Source organism: Homo sapiens, chromosome 1 (assembly GCF_000001405.40).
Source record: "Homo sapiens chromosome 1, GRCh38.p14 Primary Assembly".
Taxonomy (NCBI): domain Eukaryota; kingdom Metazoa; phylum Chordata; class Mammalia; order Primates; family Hominidae; genus Homo; species Homo sapiens.
The window spans coordinates 160,809,646-160,824,012 of NC_000001.11; the positions used below are offsets into that span (position 1 = coordinate 160,809,646).

The 14,367-nt window shown below is 46.0% G+C and overlaps 1 protein-coding gene across 16 annotated transcripts in view; it reads left to right on the plus strand.

The window, feature by feature from the left end:
* Positions 1–14,367, plus strand: part of LY9 (lymphocyte antigen 9) — a 32,082-nt gene that overhangs the window by 13,472 nt on the left and 4,243 nt on the right. For 4 of the 16 annotated variants that reach the window (XM_011509549.2, XM_017001301.2, XM_047420753.1 and 1 more), the window contains 6 exons: positions 3,991–4,266; positions 4,775–5,116; positions 6,949–7,218; positions 8,573–8,674; positions 9,676–9,729; positions 13,820–14,151. In XM_011509549.2, coding sequence (XP_011507851.1) covers positions 3,991–4,266; positions 4,775–5,116; positions 6,949–7,218; positions 8,573–8,674; positions 9,676–9,729; positions 13,820–14,151 — 1,376 coding nt within the window. Of the gene's footprint in view, positions 1–3,935; positions 4,267–4,774; positions 5,117–6,948; positions 7,219–8,572; positions 8,675–9,675; positions 9,730–13,819; positions 14,152–14,367 lie in introns of all 16 variants that reach the window. The other 12 variants (XM_011509560.2, XM_047420764.1, XM_047420765.1 and 9 more) reach the window with 5 other exon arrangements.

Genomic DNA, 14,367 nt, shown 5'->3' on the forward strand with positions numbered 1-14,367 from the left:
CTGCACCTAGCTTAGTATATACATTTTTAATGTTGCTAGATATTGCTGAATTTCCCTCCGTGTTATCAAGTAATCCTCCCACCAGCAATGTTTGAGAGACACCATTTCCTTATATTCTCAATAACAAAGTATTGTCAAACATTTCTTTGTTGATAAATTGAGTAGTTACAATAGTATTTCATGGCTTAAATTTATATTTTTCTTATGAATGAGATGAGCATCTCTTCATGTTTTATGTTTTATGTTTGTTTTGATAGACAGTCTTGCTCTGTTGCCCAGGCTGGAGTGCAGTGGTGCAATCTCAGCTCACTGCAACCTCCACCTTCTGAGTCCAAACAATTCACCCGTCTTGGCCCCCGAGGAAGTTGGGATTACAGGCATGCACCACATGCCTGGCTAATTTTTGTATTGTTAGTAGAGACAGGGTTTTGCCATGTTGGCCAGGCTGATCTTGAACTCCTGGCCTCAAGCAATTCACTCTCCTCAGCCTCCCAAAGTGCTAGGATTATAGGCGTGAGCCACTGTGTCTAGCCATCTTTTCATGTATTGAATAGCCATTTGTATTCTCTTTTCTGTAACTCTCTATTAATATTCTTTACTCATCTGTATTAGTGTGATAGGGATGCCATAACAGAATATCCCAGAATAGATGGCTTACACAACAGAAATTTATTTCTCACAATTCTGGAGACTAGAAATCCAAGTTCAAGGTGTTGGCAGGTTCGGTTTTTCCTGGGACCTCTCTCTTCGGCTTGTAGTTGGCCACCTTTTCACTGTGCCCCCACAGTCATTCCTTTGTCTGTGTTGTCTATGTCCTAATCTCTTCTTATAAGCACATCGGTCATACTGTATTAGGGTTCACCCTAACAATTCCATTTTAACTTAATTACCTCTTTAGATGCCCTGTCTCCAAATACAGTCACATTCAGAGGTACTCGGGATTAGAACTTCTACATATGAATGTTGTGGGAGGACAGAATTCAGCCCTAACATTCTACCCTCTGGCCTCTCAAAATTCATGTCCTTCTCACATGCAAAATACATTCACCACATTCCAACAATACCAGAAGTTTTAACCCATTCCAGCATCAACTGTAAGTCCAAAATCCATCTAAATATTATTTAAATCAGGTATGGGTGAGACTTGAGATATGATTCACCCTGAGGCAAAATTCTTCTTCAGTTGTGAACCTGCAAAACCAGAGAAGTTATCTGCCTCCAAAATTCAATGGTGGAACAGGTATGGAATAGACATTGCCATTCCAAAAGAGAGACATTGGGAAGAAGAAAAAAGTCACAGGTCCCAAACAAGTCCAAAACCTAACAGGGTAAATTCCATTAGATTTTAAGGCTCAAGCATAATACTCTTTGGCTCAGTGCTCTATCCTCTGGGCCCACTGGAGTAGCAGCCCCACCTCCTTGGCCCTGAGCGGCAGTTCTGCCCCCTGGAACCAAGGAGGAAACCACCTCACCCTACCCAAGGCTTGTGCCCTCTAGGCCTATGGTGGCAGTGGCAGCTCTGCCTACTTCTGAACTGCCTGTGGGGTCACTCTTCCCTTTTCTTGAAGGATAATACATATTTGCAGCTGTACAGCTGTATTGACTTATTTCATAAAATCCCAGAAGCCTGACACACTCCTTCATTTGTCCTGTCTCTGTCCCTTACAGTCCAGACTGGCAGCATTTCTGCTGAGGTGGTCAAATCTCATAACCTCTTTAGCAAACATTGCCAAGCCACAATCTTTGTGTTCTCTCCAGACACACTTTCTCGTTTTTCGCAATATGAATAGGTGACATTTTTTCAAAGCTTTAAGTTCTGGCTCCATCTTGCTTGACAATTCCTTATTTAACCTCTCTCTCTCTTCTCACATTTTATATAAGTAGCAAGGAGAAACTAGGCAGTGCCTTCAGCTCTTTGATTAGAAATCTCCACAGCTAAGTACCCAAATTTATCACTTAAACATTCTGCTTTCCACAAAACACTAGAATACAACGTGGCCGAGTTCTTTGCCACTTTACAACAAGTATGCCCTTTCCTCCAGTTTCCAGTAACATATTTCTAATTTCTGTCTGAGACCTCACCAGCAACACATTTAATATTTATATTTTTACCAACATTCTGCTCATGATCACATATGTATATCTCTAAGGTAATAGCAGCATTCCCTGCAGTGTTCCTATTTTCTTTCTGAGTGCTCACCCAAATTTTCGTTAACATTCATGTTTCTACCCAGAGTCTCTTGAAGACAATCTAGGATTTTTCTAGCACACACCTCAAAATTCTTCCAATCTCCACCCATCAGCCCATTCCAAAGCCACTTCACATTTTTAGATTTTTAGAGCTTCATCCCACTTCTGGTATCAAAATCTGTGTTAGTTTTCTAGGGCTGCCATAACAAAATACTGCAGACTGACTAGCTTAAACAACAGAAACGTATTCCACATTTCTCCAGAACACAATTCTGGAGGCCAATGAAGGTATCAGCGGCTTGGTTTCTTCTGCGGCCTCTCTCCTTGGCTCCCACATGGCCACTTTCTCTCCATGTCTTCACATGGGTGTCCCTCTGTCTATATTGTCTGTGCTCTAATCTCATCTTCTTATAAGGATACCACTCATATCAGACTAGGGCCCACCCTAATGGCCCCATTTTAACTTAATTACTTCTATCTCCAAATATAGTTCTATCTTCAAATACGGTCACATTCTGAGGTGCTAGAGGTTAAGACTTCAACATCTAAACTTTGCAGAGACACAGTTTAGCTCATAACACCATCTTTCTATCAGATAATTTGACCGTTTTCATTGATTTGTAGGGTATTCTGTATCTATTAAGGAAACGGAATTCTGTGCAGTTAATAGAATTAGAATGAATCAACTCCACATGTGTTGACAAATGACGTACAATAATTTCCAAGATATATTGTTAATTTTTTAAGGTTCAAAACAGTGTGTAAAGTATGCATATATCTGTCTATATCTAGAATACCTCTGGAAAGATCAACAAGAAACCCATAACAGTAATTGCCTCCAGGAATAGTAATTCTTGGGGAGATGAAATAAATGGCTGGAGGCTAGAAAGCTTACTTTTTTCATTATGTAGCTTTGGTATTTTCTCAATTTTTTTTAATGTATTACCTATTCAAAAGAAGAAATATTGGGCCAGGTGCAGTGGCTCATGCCTGTAATCCCAGCACTTTGGGAGGCCAAGGCAGACAGATCACCTGAGGTCAGGAGTTCGAGACCAGCCTGGCCAACTGGTGAAACTTCATCTCTACTAAAAATACAAAAATTAGCCGGGTGTGGTGCTGTGTGCCTGTAATCCCAGCTACTCAGGAGGCTGAGGCAGGAGAATCGCTTGAACCCAGGAGGCAGAGGTTGCAGTGAGCAGTGATCACGCCACTGCACTCTAGCCTGGGTAACAGAGTGAGACTCTGTCTCAAAAAAGAAATATAACTTAATGAAACATTCACACATGTGCACATACATGGTGAGCAGTGGAGATGGAACAAAAGGAAAGGAGAAGACAAGGAAGAAGATCTAGAAGCACAATGCATCCTAAATTCAGACCAAAGACACGGGCAACTCAAATTCTAGAAGCAGAGGTCCCCACTCCATAGCGTTTGGGGCTGGGCCATTCACCTATTTATTCATTGAACATTCATGAGTGTTTTTCATAAGGCAGGCTGGGTGTTAGATGTTCAGACACAGGAATCAGCCCTGTCATCAAGGAGTTCTTACACTGGTCGGGGAGAGAGAGAAGTAATCAGACTATTAGTCATGCTGAGTCATGGTGATAACACCTGTAGCGGATGTTATGGGAGTACAGAGGAGAGGCTGTCAACCCAGCCTGCAGAGAAGATGTCCCTGCGACAGGTAACGCTGGCCTCTCTCTGCTGCCCCCAACTCCCCTATTGTCACTCCCTTCTTCTCTCAGCGCTTTCCTGCTGGCAAAAGGATCTGAGCATCTTCCCATGCTGTTGTCCCTGCAGAGCAGCTGCAGGAGCCCCAAGTCACCATGAAGTCTGTGAAGGTGTCTGAGAACTTCTCCTGTAACATCACTCTAATGTGCTCCGTGAAGGGGGCAGAGAAAAGTGTTCTGTACAGCTGGACCCCAAGGGAACCCCATGCTTCTGAGTCCAATGGAGGCTCCATTCTTACCGTCTCCCGAACACCATGTGACCCAGACCTGCCATACATCTGCACAGCCCAGAACCCCGTCAGCCAGAGAAGCTCCCTCCCTGTCCATGTTGGGCAGTTCTGTACAGGTAACTGGCTCCAACTTGGCCCTTGAGGGAATTCCAGAAACAATATGAGCAGCTGTGGAGTCTAAACCCTAGGATCCTGGTCAGACACACAGGGGGTGGGGAAGCAAGAGGACAGGCCCCAAAACCCCTTATTCTCTACTCTCAGGGACATGACAGAGGCTGGCAGGACTTGGGAAAGCCCAGAACACTGTGATACTCTAAGGTTAGAGCAAGGGAGGAGAAGACAATATGGATACAGGAGTCCAGATTGGTCTTTGCTTGGGTGGAGGTGTTTCCGGGTACCCTCAGAAGGGCAGAGAGGGGACATGAGAGTCCAAGTATTCAGTGGGCACAGCCCAGTGGAACAGGTGGTCATGGAGAAGTAGCAGGCATGCCCCTCAGAGGAGGAGGCCAGGAGAAAGAGGAAGAGGAGGAGGGACTTCAGTCCCCTCAGTCCCCTTTAGGATGCCTGGGGGCCAAGGGAGTAGGGACAGTGACTGAAGCTGCAATGTCTCATCTGTGACCCCAGATCCAGGAGCCTCCAGAGGAGGAACAACGGGGGAGACTGTGGTAGGGGTCCTGGGAGAGCCAGTCACCCTGCCACTTGCACTCCCAGCCTGCCGGGACACAGAGAAGGTTGTCTGGTTGTTTAACACATCCATCATTAGCAAAGAGAGGGAAGAAGCAGCAACGGCAGATCCACTCATTAAATCCAGGGATCCTTACAAGAACAGGGTGTGGGTCTCCAGCCAGGACTGCTCCCTGAAGATCAGCCAGCTGAAGATAGAGGACGCCGGCCCCTACCATGCCTACGTGTGCTCAGAGGCCTCCAGCGTCACCAGCATGACACATGTCACCCTGCTCATCTACCGTGAGTCTCTGGGCAGGGCACCCATCACCAGATTCCTTCTCTGAAAGCTTTCTCCTCTGCTGCCTTCTCCACCTTCCGCTTCTCCAAGGGTCTTCCCTCATACTGAAATGCCTCAGACCACTAGGACAGCTGTTCAGTTCACACCAGTTGATTCATAGGAGGCAAACTCATGACTAGCTGCTGGACAAGTCTACCCGCCAAAGTGCCCCTGGCTCTAGGCTGCCAGTTAGGCCTCCACCACCCAACTTTAGGTGCTTGCCCCGGTCCTTCTGCACTGAGTGTCAGAAGGGACTAGGAGGCCAGGTGCGGTGGCTCACACCTATAATCCCGGTACTTTGGGAGGCTGAGGCAGGTGAATCACCTGAGGTCAGGAATTTGAGACCAGGCTGGCCAACATGGTAAACCCCGTCTCTACTAAAAACACAAAAATTAGCTGGGTTCGGTGGTGGGCGCCTGTAATCCAAGCTACTCTAGAGGCTGAGGCAGGAAAATCGCTCGAACCCCAAGGGGCGGAGGTTTCAGTGAGCCGAGATCATGCCACTTCACTCCAGCCTGAGAGAAAGAGCAAGACTCCGTCTAAAAAAAACAAAACAAAACAAAACAAAGGGACTGGGAACTCACCAACCTGCATTTTTAAATTTTTGAGATGGAGTCATGCTCTGTCACCCAGGCTGGAGTACAGTGGCACGATCTCAGCTCACTGCAACCTCTGACTACCAAGTTCAAGGGATTCTTCTGCCTCAGCCTCCCAAGTAGCTGGGACTACAGGCACACGCCACCACAACCAGCTAATTTTTGTACTTTTAGTAGAGATAGGGTTTTGCCATATTGGCCAGGCAAGTCTCAAACTCCTGACCTCAGGTGATCCGCTGCCTCAGCCTCCCAAAGTGCTGGGATTACAGGCATGAGCCATGGCACCTGGCCCCAACCTGCATTTTTATAAACTATTATCATTTTGAATAAGGCCAAAGTTGGCTGGGGTGAAATCAGAGAAGACTGAGGAGAAGCCCTTGGTGTCCAAAGACACTGTGGCCTCCAAGAAGGTGGGCCACTCAGTTCCCCTGGGGGTGAGGAACAGAATTTGCATTCTACCTCCTCAGCCCTGGGCCTCACAGGAGCTTGGCTTGGCAATTTGCATGGTTTATGTTTACCTGTTCCTTCACTTGTGCCATTCAGACATGGTCAGCATACCCCCTGCCTGAGTTTGTCAATGTCTAGGTATCTGTGAAGAGTCACTATCATGGTTTTGTTAAAATATGAAGCAAGTCGGCCAAGTCCATGCCTATTGCACACAATGCCTCAAATATAAAGGAACCCACAAGGTTAAGTAAAAATAATAAACAGGAAACAAATAGAGTCAGTCTTATTGTTTCTTTTAAAGTTGCTAACATTTATTGAACATTTACTCTGTGTCAGGTACAGCGCTCACCTCTCTGCATCCCTTATCTCATATAAGTAAACAAATCAGCCTCAAAGCCAAGCCTTGAAGGGTCTTCACAGCACATGGAAGTGTTGCGCTCATCTGTGTTGATTGGTTTGCTTGCTTTCACAGCTGTAACTAACTGTATAGAATGAGGTTGTGTCTTTCTTTCTTCACTTTTCATCATTTCCCTTGTTTCTCACCTGAGCATCAAGAGGCAAAGAGGTGTGTCTGAGATGTCACAAGTAGTGAGGAAAATGCCAGGTATACTCCAAAATTCCTGTGGCTCCTGGAGGCACTTTGCCGGCAGTATCAACACTCAGCTTCATGAATATATTTTCAATGAATGAAGACAGGTGACTGCTCAGGGGGCAGGCCTGATTCCACATGGAGTCTGCCTCTCTCCTCACAGGCAGGCTGAGGAAGCCCAAAATCACGTGGAGCCTCAGGCACAGTGAGGATGGCATCTGCAGGATCAGCCTGACCTGCTCCGTGGAGGACGGGGGAAACACTGTCATGTACACATGGACCCCGCTGCAGAAGGAAGCTGTTGTGTCCCAAGGGGAATCACACCTCAATGTCTCATGGAGAAGCAGTGAAAATCACCCCAACCTCACATGCACAGCCAGCAACCCTGTCAGCAGGAGTTCCCACCAGTTTCTTTCTGAGAACATCTGTTCAGGTTTCTCTCCATCTCTATTTACTCAGGTCACAGGACCTTGGGGCCTCCAAGAGTTTGCATCCTGACTGATTCTTTATGAAGTGCAGTAAGAGGCTGTGGGTGAGAGCCCTTTAGAGTGGCATGCTTCCACAGATATATGAGAGTCACGCATGTGATTTTAATGTTCTAATAGCCACGTTAGAAAAAGCAAGAAGAAATAAAGTTATTTTAATAATATGTTTTATTTAACTGAATATATCCAAAATATCATTATTCAACGTGTATTCAATACAAAAAAATTCATTAGACACTACATTTTATTTTGTACTAAGTCTTTGAGAGCCAGTATGTATTTTACACTTAGAGCACGTCTCGATTCCGATGCTAAATTTTCACTGAAAGTGTTTAATCTATATTCAGACTTCGTAAAATTTACAGTTGAAAAAATAGATTTATGCACCCAAGTTATTCCAAGCATATTTATCAGTTTTTCAAGAAGGAATTGAGTAGCCATTTTTAAATTTAAACTAAAACTAAATAAAAGAAGCAATTTGGTGTCTCAGTAATACTAGCCACACTTCAAGGGCTTATGCATAGCTTGTGGCTACCATATTGAACAGCACAGAGTTACAGGCTTGTGGAGAAAAGCCAATAGGAAGCTGATATGGAAAGGGATGTGGACCACACAGGAACAAAGGCTGCGTGAGTGGGAGCTAGAAAAGAAGCCCCAGTGGCCCTTAATAAATGCTAAGTACTATTCTAGGCCTTCAGGCATTTTTGCACAATCTTCGCAACAATCCTACAGAGTAGATATTCTCGTTTTTCCCCTTTATATGGATAAAGAAACTGAGGCTCAGAAAAGATAAGGGACTTATCCAAGGTCACACCATAAAAGCTGGTTTCGAACCCTGAGCTCTATCTTCTGCTCTTCCGTAGAAGGAAGCAGAAAAAAGGTACGGTCTACCCAGGATCTGACAATGTTGGGTCAGATTGTGTCTGGCAGACAGATCTAGAGTCCAGCTTAACAGGAATCTGGAACTCCCCTCATATCATTTACAGCGGGGCAGTGTAATGTGGCGATTAAGGGCGCTGTAGGATCTGCACTCGAACCTCAGGTCAGACACTTGAAACACTGTGACACTGGGCAAGCCGTAAACCTCTCTACCCAGGGACTGTCTGCCTCAGGTACTGCTATAACCTCTTGCCTAGAGTAATGCTTGCTCGAAAAATGGTTGTAGAATGAATGAAAAGAAAGACTTTCCACAACGTCATGGATTTTAAGGGGCAGGTAGGATGGCCATCATGTTCTGTGCATTGTTTGCTCCAGTGTGTCTTGTCATTATTTGAATTAACATCACTCATTTCCTCCTCAAAGGACCTGAGAGAAACACAAAGCTTTGGATTGGGTTGTTCCTGATGGTTTGCCTTCTGTGCGTTGGGATCTTCAGCTGGTGCATTTGGAAGCGAAAAGGACGGTGTGAGTTTCCGAGATCAATGTTGTCCGCCAGTGCTAGGCCATTTCCCTGGGACTTGTGGAGGCTTCTCTGCCCTCACACAATCCCGTGCTACCCCTCCCTGCCAGCATCTTATTTCTTCTCAGAGCAATGGGGGAGGGGTGTCAGTTGGGACTCTTTACTCACAAATAATAGAAGCCCAGTTCAAACTGGCTTAGACAGAAAAAAAAAGGCATGTGGGAGCAGGGAGAGTGATTTATTATTTTTTCACTTAAATAATCAATCTGTGGGGAAGGCAGGGATAGAGCTGGCATAATGGAGAAATGTCACCAGAGGCTCAAAAGTCATCAGAGCTCTCCACCTTTCATCTCTACTGTGTATTTTGAGTCAGCTTAACTCTTCCTACTGCAGCCCGCTGAGGGAAGGGGTGGGAGCGAGGGGAGGAGTGTACCACAACACAACAGCTGGCAGCTCCAGACCCACACATACTAACAGCTCCGACACCAGACAGGGAAGAAAATGTGCTTCCCTCTAACTCCAATTTAAAGAATGTCAGAAATAGCTCTGATTGGCCCAAGTTAAGGTCATGTGGCTGCTGCTTGGACCAATTTCTATAGCCAAGAAGATACACTATTATGATTGGCAGCTCCTCTAGAATCCCAGTATTGGAGTGGAAATGAAGTAGTAGCCAAAAAGAGCAGAATGGGTAGAACACATGGGGTCCCTGGAAGAATTACTGAATTGCAGGCAAACTACTCTGATCAGTGGCTATGGCAGAGGAGCTCTCTCTTCTGGAGGGATGGCAGGAAGCTCCAGAGCCTCCACCTCTGCAGAAAGTAGCCCTAGACTCTGGCCACCCCTTCACATAGGCCTGGCTTCTCATCAGGGTTCATCCTCCTTCCTGAAGCCTTTTCCCTGTCTATGTCCCAGAAGTCTCTCCCCTTCTCATTTGACTCTCACAGAATAAAAGACACCTCTCACCTCACAGCCCTCTTGATAAACCTTCTCTAACTTTGTTTCTCAGGTTCAGTCCCAGCCTTCTGTTCCAGCCAAGCTGAGGCCCCAGCGGATACACCAGGTAACATCACCCATGACACAGGCTATGGGGTATCTGGTCCAAATGGAAGTTCTAAAGTCTTGCTGCTCAAAGTGTGGTCTGCTGGCCAGCAGTGTGGGCATCACCCAGGAAACTTGTTAGAAATGCAAAATCTGACCAGGTGCCGTGGCTCACACCTGTAATCCCAGCACTTCGGGAGGCTGAGGCAGGTAGATCACTTGAGGCCAGGAGTTCAAGACCAGCCTGGCCAACAAAGTGAAACCCTGTCTCTACTAAAAATAGAAAAAATTATCTGGGCATGGTGGTGCACGCCTGTAATCCCAGCTACTCGGGAGGCTGAGGCATGAGAATCTATTTAACCTGGGAGGTGGAGGTTGCAGTCAGCCTAGATCACGCCACTGCACTACAGTCTGGGCAACAGGGCAAGACTCTGTCTCAAAAAAAAAAAAAAAAAACAGAAAGAGAAAGAAAGAGAGAGAAAGAAAGGAAGGAAGGAAGGAAGGGAGGGAGGGAGGGAGGGAGGGAGGGAATCTTGGGCATCACCCCAGAATACTGATTCCAAACCTGTATTTTAACAAGATCCATAAGTGATTCATATGCCTACTGAAGTTTGAAAAGGAAGGTAGCATAGAAACAAAAGCCAAGATAGACTCCTTAGAGATGGTCACCAGAGCTAGGAGAGGCAGTCTGTCCCCCAGGGTCTCTAGGGTTCCTTGGGCATTAGCCATTCACCATTTGAATGTGGACTACAATGAGGATGGAGTTATTGTCTCCATTCTGAGAACAGAGAAACAAAGGCCAGATGGAACAGTACATCTGTGGTAGAAAAAAATTTAAAACTTAATTAAAATTAAACTTCAGGAGACTGTACAACCTATTACCTAAGAGCATCGTGGGAAATGGAACTGCTCTGACAGGTTTTAGTGTGGGGAGCTGAGATGCCTGCCTTTACTCCCCCACTCCCATGCCACAGTGTCCTAAAATTTCACCTTAAACTCTGGAGCTCTGGAGTGCTAAGGAATCCCCAACCTGTGCTCACTCTAACCAAATCCTGCTTTAAAAAATAAATAAATAAATAAAAAATAAAACTATATGTCACCCCTCATGGCAGGGATTCCCCATGGAGATGGAATCAGAGGCAGGACTGGGCAGGGAGCATGTGACGATATGGGCTCTTCTGATGGAAAAGCATAACCAAGAGACAGGGGGCAAGGAAGGGAATTAGGCTGGACTATGAAGCTCCCCATCAGCTCCCTCCTCACTACTGACAGGACAGAGCCCTGGTGTCCCCCTGCCTGAACCCTCCTTCCTTGGGCAGAGGGTAAAGAGATGTTGGGGCCACCACCACCTCCCTACCTCTTCTCTCCCCCAGAACCCTTCTTGAACCTCCAAGGCCTGCTTCTTTAACCTCTCCAAGGTCTCCTCTTCCCTAGATCCACTGCCACTGCCTTAGTTCATGTTGTCACCAATTTGTTGTTTAATTGAATAGTTTTTTTTTTTTTTTAATTCAAAAGTCAGACTGGGCACGGTGGCTCACGCCTATAATCCCAGTACTTTGGGAGGCTGAGGCAGGTAGATCACCTGAGGTCAGGAATTCAAGACCAGCCTGGCCAACATGGTGAAACCCCGTCTCTACCAAAAATATAAAAATTAGCCAGGCATGGTGGCACATGCCTGTAATCCCAGCTACTCTGGAGGCTGAGGCAGGAGAATCACTTGAACCTGGAAGGCAGAGGTTGCAGTGAGCTGAGACTGCACCATTGCACTCCAACCTGGGCAAAAAAAGTGAAACTTTGCTAAAAAAAAAAAAAAAAAACCATATATTCACATGGCATACAGTTAAAAGTAGTTCTCTTTCCAAATTCCATCTCCAGGTTCTAAGTCTCTCCCCCAAGAGACAACCACTGCTGAGATTTCTACAGACCTGAATCCTTTCAGAAACTTTTAATGCATTTGCAGGTTTCATACATATTTGTGTGGGGAGGGTGTTCCTTTAACTTCACATATGGGAGCAATCTATAACACTTTTTTTCTAAACCTTGCTTTTTGATCTTAACAGTACATCCCAGCAATATTAATGTTTGTAGATTAAAACTGATTCCCATTTATTCCATTCTACACATTTGTTTAACTAATTTACTTTACCAGTCCTTATTAACAGACATTCTCATTCCTTGTTACTTCTTTCCTAAAATATGCTAATAGTTTCTTTGCAGACTATTTCCTCTCATCACTTTGCCAAGCTCAACTCTGACTTCTCTAAAACCCTCAATAGCCCCTAATGGCCTTTGTCTGTTCAAAAGGCGATATAACCAAGTGGTCAAGTGTATGGGTTCTGAGGTAGGATAACCCTGTGCTCAAACCCTAGCTCTCCTCCTTATGAATCCCTAAGCCTCAGTTTCCTTACCTTCCAAAATGAAGGTATCTATTTTCACTCAGTATTGAGCGAAAGAGAAAGAGGGGCCAGCCGGGAGGGGGCAGGATTGAGCAGCGGTTAAGAGCATCAGGGACAAGACTAGCTGTAGTCAAATCCTGGCCCTACCACTTACTCGGGAAAATACTTAATCTTTACGTGCCCGAGTTTCCTCATCTACAAAAAATAAATACGGATAGTTATTGTCTATGCTTCATGGGGTTTTAGGCAGACTAAATAAACTTATTCATGAAAAGCATTTAGAACTGTGCCTCGCACACGGTAGGCACTTACTAAATATGAGCATCAGGTCAAATTGAAGGGGCTATGTTGTCTGAGATATAAACTCAGGGTTTGTCCTCGCGTGCCGGGAAAGTTTAGGACACAGACACACAGGAGGAGTTTAGGAGCGGACGTTCAATAAGTAGAAGAAAAGAAAAAGAGAAACAGCTTCCTCTATAGAGGAAGGGGTCTCAGAGGGGTGGGGACCGGCTGCTGGTGAATGCGCTGAGTTCTATAGTCCAGTTTGAGGAGGCGGTGTCTGATTTACCTAGGGCTCACAGATTGGTTCGATAAGGCATGACGTTTACGTAGTGCCTGGGAAAGGCTGGTTGCCGCACCCTAATCTTCTTATGCAAATGGATTTTCCAGTTTATTGGCACCATCTTATCTGCTCCTTTCAATACAGTGGCTGGCAGGGAAGGGAAGATGGAGCCGCCATTTTGAAAATGTCTATTCCTTAGTCCCTGCTGGTGTTCACCCATGCAAGCTCCCAGCTTGCAGGCTGCTCTTTGTTAGAAAATGATTTGGGGCTGCTTTTCAATAAAAAGAAAAGCCTGACCAAGGACTCCCATATCCTTACTATCTGCCTAAGTAATTTCTTCTTAACTCCTGTATCAAAATGGGCTACTTCATGTGCCCCACAGGCAGGGTTGACATCCACCCAGTGTGCCATGACAGCGTTCACAGCATATCCACCCAGTGGGCCACACCGGCCCTCACAGCGCATCCACCATGCCACTGTTCACAGGTGCCCATGCTGATTGCCTAAGGCCTGACCATTGCAATTGTTAAGTATTTTTAATATCATCCTTTCGGAAAAAGAGACTGCTCCAGGCTTTACACCTGCCTCTAATCATGCTGTTCCCTCCTCCACCTAGAATACCCTTCCACTCATCGAAATATTGAATCCCTATTCAAGACCCACCTCAATTCTGCCACTTTCATGAGTTCCTCTCTGCTTCTCTAACCAGAGTCATCTCCTCTCAACTCTGCACTTTCCTCATACGTTCCATAGGATACTTGGCAAAGCTGGCCTTACATTACTGATTTACACATGCACCTGACTCCCCAGCTAGACAGGGTGCTCCTCCAGGGCCAGGTCTAATTTACCTTTGTGTTTCCCCAGAGTACCTGCAATGATGCTTGGCATGGTTTATCCCACAGGGCCAGAGAGTTGCTAAAGTCTATCACATGTCATATTTAATATTTATCAAATGAATGAATAAATGAATGCTTGAAAGGAAGGAGGAAGGGAGAGTGGAATGGACCCCCTGAGGGAAGACAGGACAAAACAATCTCCTTCGGTTCTCTAGGCCTCATCTAATGCAGGCATCAGAGCAGGCTGGGGCCTTGCAGCAAAGCAAGAAGAGAGGTGGGGTTGGCATACTTTTATCAGCCCTGCACAATGTGTTCCAGAACCCACAGCTGGCCACACGCTATACTCTGTGCTCTCCCAAGGATATGAGAAGCTGGACACTCCCCTCAGGCCTGCCAGGCAACAGCCTACACCCACCTCAGACAGCAGCTCTGACAGCAACCTCACAACTGAGGAGGATGAGGACAGGCCTGAGGTGCACAAGCCCATCAGTGGAAGATATGAGGTATTTGACCAGGTCACTCAGGAGGGCGCTGGACATGACCCAGCCCCTGAGGGCCAAGCAGACTATGATCCCGTCACTCCATATGTCACGGAAGTTGAGTCTGTGGTTGGAGAGAACACCATGTATGCACAAGTGTTCAACTTACAGGTGAGCCCTTCTGATCAATACACCTTCCTCCTCCTCCCATGTCTAGCGGCATCTGAGATCCTGGATGACTAGTTCCTCCAAACTGGGGGCTGGGGCCTGGAAACAGGACTAGGGGCATACGGGCAGGGACTCATGGCTGTGTCCATGTTTACCAAACCTTGGGATCCTGTGGAACGAGGGACTTGTCCCTCAGCTCTCATTCTTGGGCCACTAATA